This window comes from Homo sapiens, chromosome 4, assembly GCF_000001405.40.
Source record: "Homo sapiens chromosome 4, GRCh38.p14 Primary Assembly".
In the NCBI taxonomy this organism is placed as follows: domain Eukaryota; kingdom Metazoa; phylum Chordata; class Mammalia; order Primates; family Hominidae; genus Homo; species Homo sapiens.
This window is the reverse complement of record NC_000004.12, coordinates 9,563,147-9,586,991: the sequence shown is the minus strand read 5'-3', so window position 1 is coordinate 9,586,991 and position 23,845 is coordinate 9,563,147. Positions and strand designations below refer to the sequence as shown.

The following is a 23,845-nucleotide window of genomic DNA, read 5'->3' as shown; positions in this document are numbered from 1 at the left end:
CTGCAGCCGCAGGCCAGAAATGGGTTTAGACCAAACTATTATAGTAACACTGGTGCACATCTAAACAGATTTAACTCCCTCCCAGCAATCCAGATTAATTTAATATGCTTTCTTAACGGCATTCCGCATTTCTCATTAAAGCAAATGAACGTCCATCCCTCTCTGATAAATTAGGGCAAAAAAATTCATATGTTTAGGGCATAGGGAAGGAGGAGTTGTTGGCTGTTAAAAAAAAGAACAAAAAAAAGTACCGCAAATGGCGTTTCAAAGTCTAGACATCTTCATCATCAACACAAACATTCCTCTTCACAAAGGGACCTCAAGTAAGCTTAGGCTGGAGGGCCCACCTGCGTATGCTTTTCTTCTCATTCTTTCTTACCTTCCCTCCAGCCCACCCAACCCACATTCAGTGACCAAGTCACGTGGGTTTTACCTCCTAAATCTTTCTCAGATCCGTTCACTGCTCAGCCACTCTCCTGACACCACCATAAACCAAGCCACCATCACCTCCAGCTGTTTGACTGCAAATGCCTACTGACTGGCCTCTGTTTTCCCCTGGCCCTGTGACAATCTGCACTCCTCACAGGGACCAAAGCAATCACTTCAGAAGGTGCATTCAAAGAGATCACTCATTTTCAATGGCTCCCACTGCTGTGTGGGTTAACAATGATAAAAGCTCGGCCGGGCGCAGGGCATCACGCCTGTAATCCCAGCACTTTGGGAGGCCGAGGCGGGTGGATCACGACGTTAGGAGATCCAGACCATTCTCGCTAACACGGTGAAACCCCGTCTCTACTAAAAATACAAAAAAATTAGCCGGGCGTGGTGGCGGGCGCCTGTAGTTCCAGCTACTCGGGAGGCTGAGGCAGGAGAATGGCGTGAACGCGGGAGGCGGAGGTTGCAGTGAGCCGAGATCGTGCCACTGAGCTCCACCCTGGGCGACAGAGACTCCATCTCAAAAAAAAAAAAAAAGAAACAACAATGATAAAAGGTCACCTTTACTGAGCACACACTATCTCACTCCATCCCTACATCAGCCCTTTATTTCACCAGTGGGGAAGCTGGGGGACAGAGTAGTTACGTGGGATGCCCAAGGTGGGACCACTCCTATGAAGTTTCAACACCCTAATGTGAGACCCTCCATGACCTAGCCCCTCTCTTTCTCCAGCCTCATTTTCTGATTCTCTCGCTTGCCCTGCAGACTTCAGCCACACAAACTTCTTGAAAGTCCCTTAAATCTGGCTGAGCGCAGTGGCTCATGCCTGTAATCCCCGCACTTTGGGAAGCTGAGGCGGGTGGATCACTTGAAATCAGGAGTTCGAGACCATACTGGTCAACATGGTGAAACCCCATCTCTACTAAATATCCAAAAATTAGCTAGGTGTGGTGGAGGGCGCCTGTAATCCCAGCTACTCAGGAGACTGAGGCAGGAAAATCGCTTGAACTCAGGAGGCAGAGGTTGCAATGAGCCAAGATCACACCACTCCACTCCAGCCTGGGGGTCAAGAGTGAAACTCCATCACACACACACAAAAAAAGCCCCTTAAATCTGCTCTATGCCTATCAACCTCAGGGACTTCACTATGCTGTTCCTCACCCTGAAATGCTGTTCCTCATTTCTCCACCTAGTGAACTCATCCCACCCCCTAGGCCTCTCCTTAAGTGTCATCTCTTCAAGGAAGATTTTACTTTTTTAATATAACTATTACAATATAATTCAGGTACCGTATGATTTGCCCATTTAAAGTGAACAAATCAATGGTTTCAGTGCATTCACAGAGCTCGGCAACCACCATCATGATCAATTTTAAAACATTTTCATCACCCCAAAAAGAAACCCCGTATCCATTAGCAGGTATGTGCCATTTCCTCCTCCCACTAAGCCCTGACAATCTACTTTTTTTGAGATAGAGTTTCTGTCACAGGCTGGAGTGCAGTGTCACAATCTTGGCTCAATGCAACCTCCACCTCCTGGGTTCAAGCAATTCTCCTGCCTCCCGAGTAGCTGGGATTACAGGCATGTGCCACCACGCCCATCTAATTTTGTATTTTTAGTAGAGACAGGGTTTCTGTCTTCATAGATTTGCGTGTTCTGGACATTTCATATAAATGAAATCTTATGTGACCTTTTGTGACTGGTTTCTTCCACTTAGCATAATATTCTCATGGTTCATCCGTGTTGTAGCACGTGTTAGTACTTCATTCCTTTTGATGACTGAATAATAGTCCATTGCATGGTCAAACCATGTTCTATTTCTCCACTCATCAGTAGACAAGCATTTGTGTTGTTCTCACTTTGGCACTGTTATGTATAATGCTGCTATGAGTATTTGTGTACAAGTTTCTGCACGGACATATATTTTCATTTCTTTCATAAACTGGAGTGGAAGTGCTGGGTCACAGAACTCTGTTTAAGCTTTTGAAGAAGTGCCAGACTGTGTAAGACAGAAAGCCTTTCCTCACCCTGAGAGACTGAGCTCCCTCTCTCCATTTATACGTTCTCTTTATGCCCTTGCTTCTCTTTCAGAGCAATGCACGTTGACCTGGGTCACCCTCAGCTTAAGGCTCATAACTCCCCTAGATCCTCAGGGTCCACACTAAATGTGATGAAATATGATGCAAGCCACATATTTACTTTTGCATTTTGTAGTAACAACATTTTAAAAAGTAAAACAAAAGAAGTGAAGGTAATTGGAATAATATCACACATTTAAACAAATCTATCCAAAATACCAGGTCTACTAGTATAAAATATTTTAACTTTGACAAAATACTTTGTTTTCTTTTAATATTAAGGCTTCACAATCTAATGTGTATTTGACACTTCTCGCACATCTCTGCATGATGGCAGCACCCCATATGGGAGCCCTCCCATGATGCCAGTGATGGGCCCTCCTCCTCCTGGGATGATGCCAGTGGGACCTGCTCCTGGAATGAGGCCGCCCATGGGAGGCCACATGCCCGTGATGCCTGGGTGCCCAATGATGAGACCTCCTGCCCATCTCATGATGGTGCCCAGTCAGCCCAGAATGACTCAACCAGACAGATAAGGATAGATGGGAGGCCTCATTACATCAGTGTTGTTTTTTTGTTGTTATTGTTGTGGGTTTTTTTGTTTTGTTTTGTTTTTGAGACAGAGTCTTCCTCTGCTGCCCAGGCTGGAGGGCAGTGACACGATCTCAGCTCACTGAAACCTCCATTTCCTGGGTTCAAGTGATTCCCCTGCCTCAGCCTCCTGAGTAGCTGGGACTACAGGCGTGCACACCATGCCCGGCTAATTTTATTTATTTTAGTAGAGATAGGGTTTCACCATGTTGGCCAGGATGGTCTCAATCTCTGACCTTGTGACTCGCTTGCCTCAGCCTCCCAGAGTGCTGGGATTACAGGCGTGAGCCACTGTTCCCGGCCTATATGAGTTTTATATTTACCTGTTCCCTTCACCAGGAGATCATGCCCCTGTGATGCTGGCTTTTCTTAACTGCATAAGGAAGACTTACCCCCTTGCCCTATCGAAGAGAATAGTTTTGGAGGGGAGAAGTGGGACGAAAAAAGATGCAGTTTTCATTTGTATTGGGAAATGTGAAAATAAAATTGTCAACTCTTTTAGTTAAAAACAAAAAAAAAAAAAAAGAAAAGAAAAGGAAACAAGATGTGGGGCTGCCGTATGCAATACTGTGGATTCCAAGGATCTTCTACTCTGGAGGCAAATATTATCTTTGCTGAAGCCAGACCAACCTGACACAAAGACCTTTTGTTTTTTTAATGTGACTGTGTTTTATTTTACAATGTGTAATTCACTTTAGAAGGCCAAAGTACCTGTCTGGGGAAGACTATTTAATTTCTTGCATCTATTTAGAATGTTGGCTGACGTTATTATGAAGGGAAACGCCTCTAACAAGTGAGTGCCCCCCCCACAAAGACACAGCTCACGAGTTCACGGGGCAAAGGAATTGAACAGCAGCCTCCTAATAGCCGGCCTTCTTTGTGGTATGGAAATAATTATCAGCATGTAAAAGACTATATATATATTCAACAATTCTGAGCCCCTACAAAATTCAAATCTACAACTGATTTGCTTCCTGGGCTCCTGAAAACAACTTTGTCAAAATTGTTCAGAAATAAAATCAGCCAATCGTTGCCCCTTGGGGACGCAGGACAAAGCAAGTCAGCCATGACCAACGTGGAGTCGGCCGTACACAATTACATGCAGACCTGCAGGACATCGAGTCCCTGCTATGGTCCCTCCCCATCAGGCCCCCCATTGCCTGGGCTGCAGCCAGAAGGATTCAGGCACTAGTGCATTCAACAAATACTTATTTAATTGTATTGGTGGTTGGAGGGTTGTGGTTGATTAAGGTACATTAATGGATCCATGTCCTCCCTGTATCCAAGACTCTGTCATTTGTCTCTGCAGTTCCTCCCACTGAAGAATCGGAGTATATTTCTCCAGCCCCTAATGTTGGGTTTAGTCATGTGTCTAGCTTTGGCCACTGGAATATTAATCTGCATGACCAAAAATTTGGAAAGTGTGCATTCATTTGTGCTGTCTCACTCCTGCTATCACCATGAGAACAAGCCCAGGCCAGACTGCTGCTTCCAGCAGAAGATAAGAGACACCAAGAGCAAAGTCGAGCTTCCCAGACATGCTCATGCTAGATTAACCAATCCTCAGCTGACCCATAGATCCATGAAAATAAACGATTGTTGTATTAAGCCACTGAGATTTGGAGTGACTTGTTATGCAGCATTTTGTGACAACAACTAACTGATACAAGGGTCACTGTCCTTTGTCTCTGTAGATTTTAACCAATTTTTAATAGCTAGATGGAGATCTTCTAGTTGCCTTTACATATAATGAATAAGACTGTAGAGCTTTTTTGGCCTGACACTACCAGTAACCTACCCAGAAATTCAGAAATGCTTTCTTCTCCAACCCGCCCCAACCAACCTTTTATTTTGTGGGGGGGTGGTGGGTGGTTCTCCCTCTTTGCCTAGACTAGAGTACAAGTGGTACAGTCAGAGCTCACTGTAACCTCAAAATCCAGGGCTCAAGTGATCTTCCCCTTCAGCCTCCTATGTAGCTAAGGCTACAGACATATGCCCCCATGCCTGGCTAATTTTTTTATTCTTTGCAGAGACAGGGTCTCACTATATTGCCCAAGTTGGTTTCAAACTCCTGGCCCCAAGCAGGCCTCCTGCCTCATCCTCCTAAAGTGCTAGGATTATAGGCATGAGCCACCACACCCAGCCTCTTCTTGTTTTTAAATAGTAACCCTATTTTATTCTGACGATGGGTTGCTAACTTTTTTTTTTTAAGAAAAAGTTGACCCAGCCCCAGGGAATAAATTGTGACTGTTCTAAACAGGGTTGGCAAACTATAGACCAAGGGCCAAATCTGGCCCTCTGACTGTTTGTATAAATTAAGTTTTACTGGAATAAAACCAGGTCCATTCATTTATGCATTGCCTACATATGCTTTTAGGCTATGATAGCAGCACTGCATCACTGCAACAGAGGTTATCTAGAGCAAATGCCTAAAATATTACCGTTTGCCTCTTTATGGAAAAAGTTTGCCATTCCCTAGTCTAAGGTTTAGATTCTGAGCTTATCATTTTAGCCTACCCCCCCTTACCAGTGACTGGCTCAAAACAAGTCTGTGATTCCATTCTGACTGTTTTACTGAGGGAATTCCCCCTTCTTCTCATGCAGAGCTGATGAGGGTAAGTTGTATTAATAGGACATATGCTCAGGTTTTCTGAAAAATACTTTTATCTAGAAATGCATAGGAATATGCTGGTGCCTGAATGTACCATCTGGGGGCCTGGAGATTGACTCACACTGCCTCCAGAGCTAGTGCTCACACTTACTACTGAGAGGCCTGAGGAAACACCTGCCTACCCACCACCAGAACCTGCACACATCACCTGGAGAACTAGAGATCAGACTGCCACACACACCACCCAGGAGCCCAGTGGTGCACCTGCCCACCTGGTCCAGTGCTGCCACTGCCAGCAACCAAAGAAGCCACCTGGAGGCCCAGGGTTTGGCCCACGCAGACAGCCTATCATCAGTGCCCATATACACTGCACATGGTCCCTAGTATTGACAAACCTGGTCCACCACCACTACCACTGATGCTGAAGGACAAGACTTCCTGGCATCCCCATCCTCAGCAAAGCCTCATCACAGCCTCTAATGACAACTGCTGTGTGGCCGGACATGGTGACTCAGACCTGTAATCCCAGCACTTTGAGAGGCCGACATGGGTAGATCACGAGATCAGGAGTTTGAGACCAGCCTGACCAACATGGTGAAACCCCGTCTCTACTAAAAATACAAAAATTAGCTGGGCATGGTTGCACGTGCCTGAAGTCCCAGCTACTCAGGAGGCTGAGGTAGGAGAATCACTTGAACCTGGGAGGCAGAGGTTGCAGTGAGCTGAGATTGTGTCACTGCACTCCAACCTGGTGACAGAGCTAGACTCCATCTCAACCACAAAAACAACAACAACAACAAAAACCCACTACAGTCTAAGCCACTGAATGACTCACAGACATCACTCATGCCAATTACAGCTGAAGAAATCATATGCAGACTATACCACTACACACCCAGAATCAAAGCCAAAGTGTGATATCCAATGAGCATTGTAGATATAGCTATAAGAAAAGGTCTTTCCCATATAAAAGCCAATCCATAAAATTGGAAGAAGTGACTGTTATGTCAGAGGCACAGATAGTCACATAAGGATGCAAGAAATATGAAAAAGGAAGCATAACATCTCCAAAGAAGCACAATAATTCTCCAGCAACAGATTCCAATGAAAAGAAAATCTATGAAATGCCTGAAAAAAATTCAGAATAATGTTATTAAAGAAACTCAGGGAGATACAAGAGAACACACATAATGAATACAAAAAAATCAGGAAAACAATACATAATCTGAATGAGAAATTCAACAGAGATAGGCAGCATAACAAAGAACCAAACACAAACCCTGGAAGGAATAAATGATTGAAAGAAATGCAAAAGATAATTGACAGCTTTAACAATAGAATAGATCAAGCAAAACAAAGAATTTCTGAACCTGAAGAATAGTCTTTTAAAATAATCCAGTCAGACAAAAAGAAAGAAAAAAGAATGAAGCAAGGCTACATGACATATGGGACACATATGTGACCAAAAACTGAAATTCTGGGAGTTCTGGATGGAGATGAGATGGGTAAAGGCATAGAAAACCTATTTAATAAAATAATAACTGAAAACTTCCTGAAAGCTTCCAAATACAGGAAGCTCAAAGATTACCAAATAAATACAACTCAAAAAGGTCTTCTCCAAGGCACATTATGGTAAAATTGTCGAAAGACAAAGAGAAAATGCTGAAAACAGCAAGGGGAAAACATCAAGTCATTTATAAGAGAATCTCCATCAGGCTGACAGGATTTCTCAGCAGAAACCTTACAGGCTAGGAGAAAAGGAGATGTATACTACAAGTTAAAAAAAAAAAAAAAAAAAAAAAAAAAAAAGCCAAAAATACTATACCCAGCAAAGCTATCCTTCACAAATGAAGGAGCCTGGAACAGTGGCTCACATCTGTAATTCCAGAGACTCAGAAGGCTGAGGCAGGAGGATCATTTGAGCCCAGGAGTTCAAGGCTGCACTGAGCTATGATCACACCACTGTACTCCAGCCTGGGTGAAAGAGTGAGACTCCATTGCTAAAAAAATAAATAAATAAATAAAAGGGAAAAAAGTATTTCCCAGATAAGCAAAAGACTGTTTGTTTGGGTCTTGTTTGTTGTGGTCCTACAAGAAATGCTTAAGGGAGTCCTACATTGGGAAGCAAAAGAACAATATCTACCATCATGAAAATGTATGAAAATATAAAACTCACTGGTAGAGCAGACACACAAAGAAGAAAGGATTCAAACAACATCACTAAAGAAAACCACCAAACTGCAACCATAAATAATGAGAAAAAAAAGGAACAAATATGTATTAGTCTGTTTTCACACTGCTGATAAAGACATACCTGACTGAGGCTGGGCAATTTACAAGAGAAAGAGGTTTAATGGACTTACACTTCCACATAGCTGAGGAAGCCTCACAATCACGTTGGAAGGCAAGAAGAAGCAAGTTATGTCTCACATGGATGGCAGAAGGCAAAGAGAGAGCTTCTGCAGGGAAACTACCCTTTTTAAAATCATCAGACCTTGTGAGACGTATTCACTATCATGAGAACAGCATGGGAAAGACCTGCCCCAATGATGCAATTACTTCCCACTAGGTCCCTCCCACAACATGTGGGAATTCAAGATGACATTTGGGTGTGGACACAACCAAACCATATCATTCTGCCCTTGGCCCTTCCCAAATCTCATATCCTCACATTTCAAAACCAATCATGCCTTCCCAACTATCCCCCAAAGTCTTAACTAAGTTCAGCATTAACTCACAAGTCCACTGTCCAAAGTCTCATGTGAGACAAGGCAAATCCCTTCCACCTATGAGCATGGAAAATCAAAAACAAGTTAGTTACTTCCTAGATACAATGAAGGTATAGGCATTGGGTAAACACAGTCATTCCAAATGGGAGAAAATTGCCAAAACAAAGGAGCTACAGGCCCCATGAAGCCCAAAATCCAGTGGGGCAGTCAAATCTCAAAGGTCCAAAATGATCTCTTTTGACTCCATGTCTCACATGCAGGTCATGGTGATGTAAGAGGTGGGCTCCCACGGCCTTGGGAGAAAAAAAGCCACAGCTCCACTCCTGTGGCTTTGTAGGGTATAAATCCCCTCCTGGCTCCTTTCATGGGTTGGCATTGAGTGTCTGCAGCTTTTCCAGGCACACAGTGCAAGCTGTCAGTGAATCCACCATTCTGGGGTCTGGAGGATGGTGGCCCTTTTCTCACATCTCCACTAGGTGGCGCTGCAGTAGGGACTCTATGTGGAGGCTCTCACCCCACATTTCCCTTCCGCACTACCCTAGTAGAAGTTCTCCATGAGTGCCCTGCCCCTGCAGCAAACTCCTGCCTGGACATCTAGGCATTTCCATACATCTTCTGATATCTATGCAGTGGTTCCCAAACCTCAATTTTTGACTTCTGTGCACCCATAGGCTCAACACTATGTGGAAGCTGCTAAGGCTTGGGGCTTGCACCCTCTGAAGCCACAGCCCACGTTGTACCTTGGCTCCTTTTAGCTGCAGCTGGAGTGGCTAGGACTCAGGCACCCTAGGCTGCTCACAGCAGGGGTACCCTTGGTCCAGCCCACAAAACCATCTGTTCTTCCTAGGCCTCTGGGCCTTTGATGGGTGGGGCTGCCATGAAGATCTGTGACATGCCCTGGAGACATTTTCCCCATTGTCTTAGGGATTCACATTTGACTCCTCGTTACTTACACAAACTTCTGCAGCCAGATCAAATTTTTCTTGAGAAAATGGGATTTTCTTTTCTATTGCATTGTCAGGCTGCAAATTTTCCAAACTTTCATGCTCTGCTTCCCGTATAAAACTGAGGGCCTTTAACAGCACCCAAGTCATCTCCTGAATGCTTTGCTGCTTAGAAATTTCTTCTACCAGACACCCTAAATCATCTCTCTCCCGTTCAAAATTCTACAAATCTCTACAGCAGGGGCAAAATGCCACCAGTCTCTTTGCTAAAACATAACAGGAGTCACCTTTGTGCCAGTTCCTGACAAGTTCCTCATTTCCATCTGAGACAACCTAAGCCTAGACTTTATTGTCCATATAACCATCAGCATTTTGGGCAAGCCTCTAGGAAATCTCTTCCAAATTTTCCCACATTTTCCTGTCTCCTTCTGAGCCCTCCAAACTGTTCCAACCTCTGCCTGTTTCCCAGTTCCAAAGTCACTTCCACATATTCAGTTATCTTTTAGCAACACCCCACTCTGGTACTAATTTACTGTATTAGTCCATTTTCACACAGCTGATAAAGACACATTCAAGACTGGGAAATTTACAAAAGAAAGAGGTTTAATGGACTTACAGTTCTACATTGCTGGGGAGGCTTCAAATCGTTGCGGAAGTCAAGGAGAGGCAAGTCACATCTTACAAGGATGGCAGCAGGCAAAGAGAGAGCTTGAGCAGGGAAACTCCTCCTTTTAAAACCATCAGCTCTCATGAGACTTATTCACGATCAAAAGAATAGCATGGGAAATACCTGCCTCCATGATTCAACTACTTCCCACTGGGTCCCTCCCACAAAACATGGGAATTCAAGATGAGATCTGAGTGGGGACACAGCCAAACCATATCAAAAGGATATACAAAATAACCAGAAAACAATGAACAAAATGACAGGAATAAGTCCTCACCTATCAATAATAACTTCAAATATGGGTTAAATTACCTACCTAAAAGATAGAGACAGGCTTAATGGATAAAAAATGACCCAACAACGTCTGCAAGAAACTCACTTCACTTGTAAAGACACACAGACTGAAAGTGAAGGGATTGAAAAAGATATACCACACAGACAGAAATCAAAAGTAATCAGGAGTAGCTAAACTTACATCAGATAAAACAGACTTTAAGTCAAAAACTGTAAAAAGGACAAAGAAGGTCATTATATGGTAATAAAGGGATCAATTCGGCAACAAAGTATAACAATTCTAAATATGCACACAACAAACACAAGCACATCCAGACACACATAGCAAATATTATTAAATCTACAGGAAGAGATAGAGTCCAATACAATGATAGTTGAGAACTTCAATATCCTACTTTCAGCATTGGACAGTTCATCTAGACATAAAATCAACAAAGAAACATTAGATTTAAGCTGCACTTTAGACCAATGGACCTAACAGATATTTTCAGAATATTTCATCCAGCAGCAGCAGAATATACAATCATCTCATCAACACATGGAACATTCTCCAGGATAGACCATATGTTAGGACACAAAACAAGGCTCAATAAAATTTTAAAAATTAAAATCATATCAAGTATCTTCTCAGAACACAATGGAATAAAACTTGAAATCAATAAGACGAGGAAATTTGGAAACTGTACAAATACATGGACATTAAACATGCTATTGAATGATCATTGGATCAATGAAGAAATTAAGATGGACATCAAAAATTTTTTTAAACAGAAAATGGAAACACATCATGCAAAACCTATGAGATACAGCAAAAGCAGCACTAGGAAGAACGTTTATAGCAATAAATGCCTACACCAAAAAAGTAGAAAGATTTCAAATAAACAACCTAATGATGCACCTCAAGGAACTCAAAAAGCAAGAACAAACCAAGCACACAATTAGTAGAAAGAAAAAATAATAAATAACGTAGCAGAACGAAATGCAACAGAGTCAAAAAAGAAATGCAAAGAATCAACAAGACAAATTTGGTTTTTTGTAAAGTTAAACAAAATTGATAAACCAGTAGTGAGGACAACCAAAAAAAAAAAAAAAAAAAAAAAAAGGAGACCCAAATAAATACAATCAGAAATGAAAAAGGAGACATTACAACTGTTACCAAAGAAATAAAAAGGATCATTAGAGGGTATCATGAACAACCATATGCTAACAAATTGGAAAACCTAGAGGAAAGGGATAAATTCCCAGACATACAGAGCCTACCAAGATTGAACTAGGAAGAAACAGAAAACCTGAACTGACCCAAAATGAATAGCAGGTTTGAATCAGTAACAAAAAGTCTCCCAAAAGAGAAAAGCCCTAGGCTAGTCTTTTATGCTGATTTCTACCCAATTTATAAAGAACAACAAACAACAGTTCTTCTCAAATTATTCCCAAAAATTGAAGAGGAGGGAATTCTTCCTAACTCATTGTATAAGGCCAGCATTACCCTGATATCCAATCAAGACAAAGACACAACACAAAGAGAAAACTACAGGCCAATATTCCTAATGAACACAGATGGAAAAATTCTCAGCATAATACTACCAAGCCAAATCTAATGGTGAATGAAAAAGATAATATACCATGATCAAGTGGGATTTATCCCAGGAATGCAAAGATGGCTCAACCTACACAAATCAATACATGTGATACATCACATCAACAAGATGAAAGGCAAAAACTATCTGATCATCTCAGCAGATGCAGAAAAATCACTCAGTAAAACTTACCATTCCTTCATGATGAAAACTCTCAACAAATTATGCATAGAAGGAACACTTCAACATAAGAAAAGGCATACATGACAAATCTACTGCTAACATCCTACTCACTGGGAAAAATTGAAAAGCCTTTCCTCTAAGAACTGGAACAAGACAAGGGTGCCCGCTTTCACCACTCTTATTCAACACAGTATGGGACATCCAAGCCAGAGTGATCAGACAAGATAAAGAAATAAAAGGCATCCAAAATGGACAAGAGGAAGTCAAATTGTCTCACTTTGCAGATGACATAATCTTATATTTGTAAACAGGAAAACCTAAAGACTCCACCAAAAACCTCTGACAATGGATAAATTAGGCTGGACATGGTAGTTCATGCCTGTAATCCCAGCACTTTGGGAGGCCAAGGTGGGCAGATCCTGAGGTTGGGAGTTTGAGACCAGCCTGGCCAACATGGTGAAACCCTGTCTCTACTAAAAATACAGTTAGCCAGGCATGGTGGTAGGTGCCTATAATCCCAGCACCACTGCACTCTAGCCTGGGCAACAGAGTGAGACTCTATCTCAAAAAAGAAAAAAGAAAAAAAAAATTTAAAAACGGATGTATAATTCAGTAAAGCTTCAGAACACAAAATCAACATACAAAAATCAGTAATATTTCTATATACCAGTAACAAACTAGCTAAAATAGAAATCAAGGAAGAAATTCTATTTACAATAGCTACAAAAATAAAATACCTAGGAATAAACTTAACCAAGGATGGGGAAAAAAACCCAAAAAACATCTACAATGACAAGCACAAGACACTGATAAAATAAATTGAGAAGGACGTGAACAAATGGAAAGGCATCTCATGCTCGTGGCTTGGAATAACTAATACTGTTAAAATGACCATGCTACCCGAAGCAATCTAGAGATTCAGTACAATCCCTATCAATTATATTCTTCACAGAAACAGGAAAAAAAAAACCCTGAAATTCATATGGAAGCATAGAAGACTCCAAATAGCCAAAGCAATACTGTGCAAAAAGAAGAAAGCTAGAAGCCTCACACTACCTGATTTAAAAATATACTGCAAAGCGGCCGGGTGTGGTGGCTCATGCCTGTAATCCCAGCACTTTGAGAGGCCGAGGCGGGTGGATCACAAAGTCAGGAGATCGAGACCATCCTGGCTAACACGGTGAAGCCCCGTGTCCACCAAAAAAAAAAAAAAAAAAAAAAAAAAAAATTAGTCAGGTGTGGTGGTGGGCACCTGTAGTCCCAGCTACTCAGGAGGCTGAGGCAGGAGAATGGCATGAACCTGGGAGGCAGAGCTTAGAGTGAGCCAAGATCGTGCCACTGCACTCCAGACTGGGTGACAGAGCAAGACTCCGTCTCAAAAAAAAAAAAAAAAAAAATATATATATATATATATATATATATACACTGCAAAGCCATAGTAACCAAAACAGCGTGTATTGGTATTAAAACAGACACAAAAACAAAGGAAACAGACTAAAGAATCCAGAAATGAATCCACATATTTACAGCTAACTGATTTTCAAGAAAGCAGTCAAGAACATACATTGAATAAAGGACACCCTCTTCATTAAATGGTGCCAGGAAAACTAGATATCCAAACACAGAAGAATAAAACTAGACCCTTATCTCTCATCACTTACAAAAATAAATTCAAAATCAATTAAAGACTTAAATGTAACAGCCACAACTATAAAACTACTAGAAGTAAACACAGGAGAAACTCTTGAGAACAAAGATTGTACGGTTAACACTTAAAAAGTACAAGCAACAAAAACAGACAAATGGGATTATATTAAACTAAATACCTTCCGCATATCAAAGAAAGCAATCAACAGAGTGAAAAGACAACACCCTACCCTTACACCATACACAAAAATTAACTCAAGATGGCCTAAAGTCTTAAATGTAAAACCCATAACTATAAACACGCTGGAAGACAACCTAGGCAATACCATCCGGTACATAGTGATGGGCAAAGAGTTCATGGTGAAGATGCCAAACGCAATTGCCACAAAAGAAAAAATTGACAAATGGGATCTAATTAAATGAAAGAGCTTCTGCACAGCAAAAGAAACTATCAAAAAATAAACAGACATTTCTCAAAAGAAGATATACAAATCACCAAGTTTATGAAAAAACATTCAACATCACTAATCATCACGGAAATGCAAATCAAAACCACAATGAGATATCATCTCACACTTGTTAGAATGGCTATTATGAAAAAGACAAAGCACAACAAATGCTGGCAAGCATGTGAAGAAAAGAAAATTATTGTATATTGTTGGTGGGAATGTAAATTAGTACAGCTATTATGAAAAAAAGTACACAGATTTCTCAAAAAACTAAGAACAGATCTACCATATGATCCAGCAATCCCACTCCTGGGTATATATCCAAAAAAAAATCAGTGTATCAACGGGATATCTGTACCCCCATATTTACTGCAGCACTATTTACAATAGCCAAGATATGGAATCAATCTAAATGTCAATCAATGGATGAATGGATAAAGAAAATGGGAATATACTCACAATAGAATAGTATTCAGCCATAAAGAAGAATGAAATCCTGTCATTTTCAGCTAAATGGATGGAATTAAAGGTCATAATGTTAGGTGAACTAGGCCATGCACAGAAAGAAAACTATTGCATGTTCTCACTTATATGAGCGGTTTATGCTCCTGGAAATCAAAGTGGGGGCCAGGTTTCAGGTCAGTAGGTCAGGGATAGAGACCGCAGTTACGTACTTGTGTGCTCTGGAGCTATATAAAATTGATATCATGGAGATAAAGAGTAGAATGATAGTTACCAGAGGCTGGGAATAGGAGGGGTTTGAAAAGAGGTTGATTGATGTGTATAAAAATATATAACAGAAGGAATAAGATCTAGTGTTTATTATCACAGAAAGTGACTACAACAATTTATTGTATATTTCTTTTTTTTTAATTTCAATAGTTTTTAGGGAACAGGTGGTATTTTGTTACATGGATAAGTTCCTTCGTGGTGATCTCTGAAATTTTGGTGTACCCATCACCAAAGCAGTTTGCCCAATGTATAGTCTTTTATCTCTTACCCCCTCCCACCTTCCCCCTGAGCCCCCAAAGTCCACTGTTTCATTCTTGTGCCTTCGCATCATCATAGCTTAGCTCCCACTTACGAGTGAGAACACGCAATGTTTGGTTTTCCATTCCTGAGTTAATTCATTTAGAATAATGATCTCCAACTCCATCCAGGTTGCCATGACTGCCATTATTTCATTCCTTTTTAAGGCTAAGTAGTATTCTGTGGTATATATATATAACACATTTTCTTTATCCACTAATTGATTGATGGGCATATGGGCTGGTTCTATAGTTTTGCAACTGTGAAGTTTGCTGCTGTAAACATGTGTGCAAAAGTATCCTTTTCAAATAGTGTCTTCTTTTCCTCTGGGTAGATACCTAGCAATGGGATTGCTGGATCAAATGGTAGATGTGTTTCTAGTTCTTTAAGGAATCTCCATACTGCTTTCCATAGTGGTGGTACTAGCTTACATTCCCACCATCAGTGTAAAAGCGTTGTCTTTCACCACATCTGTGCCAACATCAATTTTTGCTTTTTTTTTTTTTTTTTTTTTTTTGAGATGGAGTCTCACTCTTTTGCTCCGGCTGGAGTACAGTGGTGCCATATCAGCTCACTGCAACCTCTGCCTCCCGGGTTCAAGCAATTCTCCTGCCTCAGACCCCGGAGTAGCTGGGATTACATGCAACCGCCACCATGCCCGGCTAATTTTTGTATTTTCAGTAGAGACTGGGTTTCACCATGTTGGTCAGGCTGGTCTCAAACTGCTGACTTCGTGATCCACCGACCTTGGCCTCCCAAAGTGCTGGGATTACAAGCATGAGCCACCGCGCCTGGCCCTCTTTTTGTTTATTTTACACGTGGTATTGCGTTGTGGTTTTGATTTGCATTTCCCTGGTAATTAGTGATGTTGAACATTTTTTCATATGTTTGTCGGCCATTTGTATATGTTCTTTTCAGAGTTGTCTATTCATGTCCATGGCACACTTTTTGATGGGATTATTTTTTTCTTGCTCATTAGAGTTCCCTGTAGATTCTGGACATTAGTCTTTTGTCAGATGCAGTTTTTGAAAATTTTCTCCTACTCTATGGGTGATCTGTTTACTCTGCTGATTATTTCCTATGCTGTGCAGGAGGCTTTTAGTTTAATTAAGTCCCATCTATTTATCCTTGTTTCTGTTGCATTTGCTTTTGGGTTCTTGGTCATGAACTGTTTGCCTAAGCCAATGTGTAGAAGCATTTTCCAATGTTATCTTCTAGAATTTTTATGGTTTCAGACCTTAGATTTAAGTCTTTGATCCATCTTGTGTTGATTTTTGTATAAGGTGAGAGATAAGGATCCAGTTTTATTCTTTTACATGTGGCTTGCCAATTATCCCAGCACTATTTGTTGTATAGTGTGTACTTTCCCTACTTTGTTTTTGTTTACTTTGTTGAAGATCAGTTGGCTGTTAAGTATTTGGCTTTATTTCTAGCTTCTCTACTCTGTCCCATTGGTCATGTGCCTATTTTTATACCAGCACCATGCTGTTTTGGTGACTATAGCCTTGTAACATAGTTTGAAGTTGGGTAATATGATGCCTCTAGATTGGTTCTTTTTGCTTAGTTTTGCTTTGCCTATGCAGATTCATTTTTAGTTCCAAATGAATTTTAGCATTGTTTTTTCTAGTTCTATAAAGAATGATGATGGTACATTGATAGGAATTGCATTGAATTTGTAGACTGCTTTTGGCAGTATGGTCATTTTCACAATATTGAGTCTACCCATCCATGAGCATGGAATGTGTTTCCATTTGTTTTTGTCATCTATGATTTCTTTCAACAGTGTTTTGTAGTTTCCCTTGTAGGGGTCTTTCACCTCCTTGGTTAGGTATATTCTTAAGTATTTTATTTTTAAAGCTATTATAAAAGGGTTTGATTTGATTCTCAGCCTGGAAGATGTTGGTGTATAGCACTGCTACTGATTTGTGTACATAGATTTTGTATCCTGATAAATGGATTTATTGTATATTTCTAAATAGCAATAAGATTTGAAATATTCCCAACACAAAGAAATGATCAATGTTTGAGGTGATTAATATCCTAAAGACCCTGATTTGATCATTACACATTGCATGCATGTACCAGAATCTCACATGGACCCCATAAATGTGTATAATTATTCTCTATCAAAAACATTTTTTTAAGAAACATGCAGGAATACCCTGTACCTCTTCCTTGCTGTCTCTGGATATTGTCACATGAGGACTTGACATGCGGATTGTGGCAGCCTCTGTGTCCAAGAGCAGAAGACAATAGCAGCATAGAAACCTCAAATGAAAAACCTAACATCTCAAGCTACTAATTTAGCCAAACTTGGCATCAGCTATCTCTGGTCTTAGTACATGAGGTGATAAGCCCCCACTGTTCAAGTTGGGTGGCCATCAATTGCTGCAGAATAGAAGTTAATGAGGCTTCCTCCTCCTGGATCCCCTACTAGACCCTGACATGCCCATTCAGTCACAGGCAGAAAGGGAAGCAGAGGGTAAGAAGACATGGCTGGCTGTGCCAGATGCAGATCTTACCTGTCCTGCTTAGAACACTCAAAGCTCAAATGGCTAAACAAAAAAAGGAAAAAGACAGTAAGGAGTATAACACTCCCCAGATGCAACTTGATCTAACACTCTACACTTTAAATTTTCTAAACATACATAGAAATCAGACCACTACTTCTGCAGAACATTTTACTGGTAAAAAGAACAGCCCACATGAGGAAAACTGATTTGGTGGAAAGACAACAAAAACAAAACATGGGAAATAGGTAAGGTGATAATATGGGGGAGAGGTTTTGCTTGTGTTTCACCAGGAGAAAATCAGCTTCCTGTTTGGATACCCACTAGACATTTGAAGTTCTATAATGAACCCATCAGAGATGCAAATGAAAGTGCCTCCGCAGAGACAGAAAACCCGCAATCGAGCATCATCGACTCGCAGGGTGAACAAAATGGTGATATCAGAAGAACAGATGAAGTTGCCAACCACCAAGAAAACGACACATGTGGAGAGCCAGGGAGAGGAAGAGAAAGAAAAAGAGACAGAGATCAGAGAGAGACACAGAAAGTGAGCCTGGGGAGAGAGATAGTATAAAAGAGAGAGACTGTAAGAAAAGGGAGACAAAGAGATAAAAGGTGTGAGAGAACAGGTGAGGAGAAAGACCGAAAACTATGAGAAACAGCAACTAAGACACAAAGGAGGTGGCAGACCGCCTGGGTGCCACAGCACCCACACCGTCCTCTTGCCCCCTGTCACTTGGGTTAAAACCACAGGAAATTCCACTGTTGCAAATTTTGTATTAATCCTTGTATGTCTGTCCTTTCTATTGTTAGTCTACAGGTGTATCCAGCAGCTCCAGAGAGACAGCAACCAGCGAGAAGGGGTCATGATGATGGTGGTGGTTTTGTCAAAAAGAAAAGGGGGATATGCAGGGAAAAGAAAGAGAGATCAGACAGTTACTGTGTCTATATAGAAAGGGAAGACATAAGAGACTCCATTTTGTAAAAGACCTGTACTTTAAACAATTGCTTTGCTGAGATGTTCTTAACCTGTAGCTTTGCCCCAGCCAGTTTGACCCAACCACTTCGACCCAACCTGGAGCTCACAAAAACATGTGTTGTATGAAATCAAGGTTTAAGGGATGTAGGGCTGTGCAGGACTTGCCTTGTTAACAAAATGTTTCCAAGCAGTATACTTGGTAAGTCATTGCCATTCTCTAGTCTCAATAAACCAGGGGCACAATACACTGTGGAAAGCGGCAGGGAGCCCTGCCCTTGAAAGCGGCATATTGTCTAAGGTTTCTACCCATGTGATAGTCTGAAAAGTGGCCTCATGGGAGGAGAAAGACCTGACGGTCCCCCAGCCTGACACCCGTAAAAGGTCTGTGCTGAGGTGGATTAGTCAAAGAGGAAAGCCTCTTGCAGTTGAGATAGAGGAAGGCCACTGTCTCCTGCCTGTCCCTGGGAACTGAATGTCTTGGTATAAAACCCAATTGTACATTTGTTCAATTCTGAGATGGGAGAAGAACCGCCCTATGGTGGGAGGCGAGACATGTTTACAGCAATGCTGCCTTGTTATTCTTTACTCCACTGAGATGTTTGGGTGGAGAGAAACATAAATCTGGCTTATGTGCACGTCCAGTCATAGTACCTTCCCTTGAACTTCATTATGACATAGATTCTATTGCTCACATTTTTGTTGCTGACCTTCTCCTTATTATCACCCTGCCCTCCTACTACATTCCCTTTTGCTGAAATAATGAAGATAATAATCAATAAAAACTGAGGGAACTCAGAGACCGGTGCCAATGCAGGTCCTTGATATGCTATGCGCCGGTCCCCTGGGCCCACTGTTGTTTCTCTATACTTTATCTCTGTGTCTTATTTCTTTTCTGTCTCTCAGCCTACCTGGCTAGAAATACCCACAGGTGTGGAAGGGCAGGCCACCCCTTCAGTATGAGATTACAGGCATGAATAACTCCACCTGACCACCTACCTCACTCTTGAGAGGCCAGAAGTGATGCTGGAACTTCCTTCCTCTGTGGGTTAAAAAGGGAAAATTAGGGAGAACACAAGGCAGGAGAGATGCAGCGATGGATATGTCTATATGGAGCTTCTATCTGCATCCAGTAGAAAATGCATTTCTAGGCACCAGGTTTAACAGCAAAAACCTGGAGTCTTGTCTGTTAGCATTCTCCTTCCCCACAAACCTGAGAGGGAATACATTTGCTCCAGCACACCCGGATGTAAGAAATGTCACATTCCTATTTCTGTAACTTCAGTTAAATCTGCTCTGAGTCCCTGGATGCCTGGCAGGTGGAGAATTCAATCTTGTCGTTACCAGCATTCCTTTCCCTTCTCCATGGACTTATGTAAGAATTCCGGGCTTACACATTGTTGGAAAGCCAGGTAGGAACTACGTCCCCCAAACTCTCCATTCTTCCAGCTGCTCATGATCCATCAGCCTTTTTTGGGCCATCTGCTATAACAAGACCCTCCTCACAGCATCATTCCACTGACCCACAGGCTCAGCCCCAGGGACCGTCACTAGAACAGGTCTCCACTATGCATAGGAACTCACAAAAACTTTCTCTTCTTCTTGGCTTCCTCTGATATCCAGCCAGTGCCCCACTTCTCACCTTAAACACAGATGGCAGCTCCTTCCCATCGTTCCAAACCTTGGGGATTTTCCAGCCAAATTCTCTTCAGACACCAAAGCTTCACCCGCCCTCTTCAGGGAGGTGCTGCAAGGGCATCTGAGATCTTTGGAAGCCCAATTCTGGCCTCTCTTTGGGGTGGGCTGAGAGTGGGAACTAGACTCTCTTTTCCAAGTGCCATGTTTATCTTGTTCATCATTATATTATCTCCAATGCCTGGCACATAGTAGGCACTACAGACTGACACACAGTAGGTGCTATTAGTGTCTGTATAATGGGACTCTTGAGGTTGAAGCTATTAGCAGAAACCTGCCATGCAAAAGGATGGAAAACCAACAACCAAAAAAAAAAAAATGAAAACAATCATGGCTTTGAGCTCTAAACACACTAGGCACCAGCCCAAGTTTGGGCAATTTTAATACAACAGCCATTTTGCCTCCAAACAAACTGGCACTGGAAACCTCCCTCTGCCTCTTAAAGAGAACCAGTTTCCCTTTCCCTAAGTGGGGAGCATTTCTCCCCAGTGGCAGTACCCAGCCCACTGCCACCAGCAAAGGACTGCAGCCAGGAGCCTTGACAGTTTAAAGAATAGATTTTATAGGGAAAAACAAAGTAACATCCACATAAATCTGGAACTACCACCACTTTCCAGAGGCCGAATCCCATTTATAAATTCTCTTGCGTGTCAAGCACCTTGCAGTCAGCTCAACTACACACTTTTGGGATTCGTTGCAGAGAAGAGTGAAGGTTATCTGCAAAATAAAGGAACCAGGGCTCAGAATTCCCAGAGCAATCCATGACAGAGGAGGTGAGTAGAAAAGGGAAGGGTGAAGTCAAAGGAGAGAAGTCAATGAGTTGGCCAACACCAAGCAAGGATCATGGGACCCTCTCCACGGCCCCACATCTCAAATGAAGTCAACAAATCCCATCAATGCTTGGTGTAAGTGTTGTATGCTCCTGGAAAAGAAAGCAGGGGCCATATTTCAGGTCAGTAGGGTCAGGGGTAGAGGCAGCGGTCATGGACTTGTGGGCCCTGGAGGATGGGATGATTCTGAGACATTGAATCCCTACACTGATCTCAGTAGAAATCTCAGGTAGGGCTTCAACATTCATGGACCAAGGACTCTGCGGGCCTGAAAGCAACAGCCTTGGTGCATGTCCCAGCTCCATCAATCCCAACTGCGGCTTTGAACAAGTTACTTATTTTTTTAACTAACATTATTTTAATTGACAAATCATAATTGTACACATTTATGTGATGTTTTGATATGTGTATACAATATGGAATGATTAGATCAAACTAATTAACACGTCCATCCCCTAATTTACTGACAATTTTTATGATGAGACATTTGAAATGTACCCACTTAGTTATTTTGAAAGACACATTATTATTGACTATAGTCATGCTGCTGTGCTATAGATTTCAAAGCATATAATCCAGCAACCCAACTTCTGGGTATAGACCAAAAAAAATCGAAGTCAATATGTCGAAGGGATCCCTACATTCCTATGTTCACTGCAGCTCTATTCACAATACCCAAGATATAGAATCAACCTAAGTGTCCATCAGTGGATGAAAGGATAAAGCAAATGTACTATATACACACAACGGAATACTATTAAACCTCAGAAAAGGAAGAAATCCTGTCATTTTCAACAACATAGATGAACTTGAAAGACATTTGTGTTAAGTGAAATAAGCCAGGCACAGAAAGACAAATACTGCATGATTTTACTTATATGTGGAATCTAAAGAAGTTGAACTCACAGAAATAGAGAGTAGGACAGTGGTTATCAGGGGCTGGGGTGGAGGAAAGGTAGGGGATAGGAGACACTGGTCAAAGGGTACAAAGTTTCCAATAGGAAGAATAAGTTTTGAACAAGCTAAACTCCTCTGAAAGCTCAGTTCCTCATCTGTAGAGCAGGGACACATCATTAACCTTCTAAGGATGTTGCTGTGAGAGTAAGAGATGATGTACAGCACAATACCTAACGCACAGTCAGGTCTCCTTAAGCTTGAACCTGCATCGCCATGACCTCTACATCACAGGGCAGAAAGGCTCACAGCCAGTGTCTGAGTTCCCAGTGAAAAGTGGATCCCAGATCAGGCTGAACAGCAGGATCCCTAGGGGATACCCAGCCCTACTGGGTCAGAATCACCAGAGGTAGAGCCTGGGTATGTATGTATGTGTATGTGTGTGTGTGTGTGTGTGTGTGTGTGTGTGTGTGCATGTATGTAGGTATGTATGTATAAGAGACAGGGTCTTGCTCTGCAGTCCAGGCTGGAGTGCAGTGTCACAATCATACTTCACTGCAGCCTCAAATTACTCCTGGCCTCAAGCCATCCTCCCACCTCAGCCTTCAGAGTAGCTGAGACTACAGACGCATGCCACCAAGCCCCGGTACTTTTCTTTTTTCTTTTTTCTTTTTGGAGAGAGTCTCACTCTGTTGCCCAGGCTGGAGTGCAATGGTGCATTCTTGGCTCACTGCAACCTCTGTCTCCCGGGTTCAAGTGATTCTCGTGCCTCAGCCTCCTGAGTAGCTAGGATTACAGGCATGTGCCACCACACCAGGCTAATTTTGCATTTTTCATTGTTGTTTCTTGTTTGTTTTTCACAAATAGGACTTTTTATTTGCCACTGTTTTAAGTCTGAACTTTAAACAGATTCTTGGACAGGTGGTTCATATCCATCAGCTCATTCAACTTTAGCATGTATCTCGTCCCTAGGGGGTTTTCCAGAACTACTACCGTCACCACGAAGCTCCATGCCTTTCAAACCCAGGGTTCTCCAGCATTTTTACTTTTCTAATGAAGACATCATGGAGAGGATAGATTGGCAAGCCTTTTCTACTTCTTTTCCAATATTGTCTGGAATCATTTTATTGACCACTTCTTTCAAGTCATTTGCCGCACCTCTCAGGTCATGATTTCCATCATCTTCTTCTGGATTTGGGGGACTGTTGGTGCTGAGCATAAGAGGTCTTCAGTATCTGATTGTTGTGTTTTTTAGTAAAACCAACACAAAACAGATGAAAGAAATAACCATCGGTAGTCTTGACATCAACATGAGCTTCAGTCATTGTTGAACATTTTTCAACCATGGAACATATTTTGTCACAGGTAAGACCCATGCCATAGAAGTTAGTCAGGCAGTTTTTGCCCTGAACATCTTCAGTAATCAGCTTGAATTTTCTAAATGCAACTTCATCATTCTGCGAATCAGCAAGACTCACTTCAAACGCAAGACCCTTGAGACCATCAGATGCAATTTGGGTTCCTTGGGTCCTGGTGACCAAGTGTTTCCAATATTTCTTATATTGAACATAGCAGGTACTTTCACATCATACTGATCTTTCTTAGAGAATGGACCAACGAATTTCTTCTTAACTCCCTTTTTGCCACCTTTCATAAGGCACTTGTTCTTAACAACCGCCATGGTGCTGCTCAGAGTACCAAAAGG

General features: G+C 41.7%; 2 pseudogenes, besides 1 other annotated feature; one reads left to right on the top strand and one right to left on the bottom strand.

The window, feature by feature from the left end:
• Nucleotides 328–827: an enhancer, noted in NCBI's record as "H3K4me1 hESC enhancer chr4:9587789-9588288 (GRCh37/hg19 assembly coordinates)". NCBI's record gives its function as "activates a minimal SCP1, AML or CMV promoter by ChIP-STARR-seq in primed H9 embryonic stem cells {active_cell/tissue: H9 hESC(primed)}" and the evidence as "EXISTENCE:reporter gene assay evidence [ECO:0000049][PMID:30033119]".
• Nucleotides 2,842–3,087, top strand: SNRPCP13 (small nuclear ribonucleoprotein polypeptide C pseudogene 13; annotated as a pseudogene).
• Nucleotides 22,998–23,845, bottom strand: RPS3AP19 (RPS3A pseudogene 19; annotated as a pseudogene).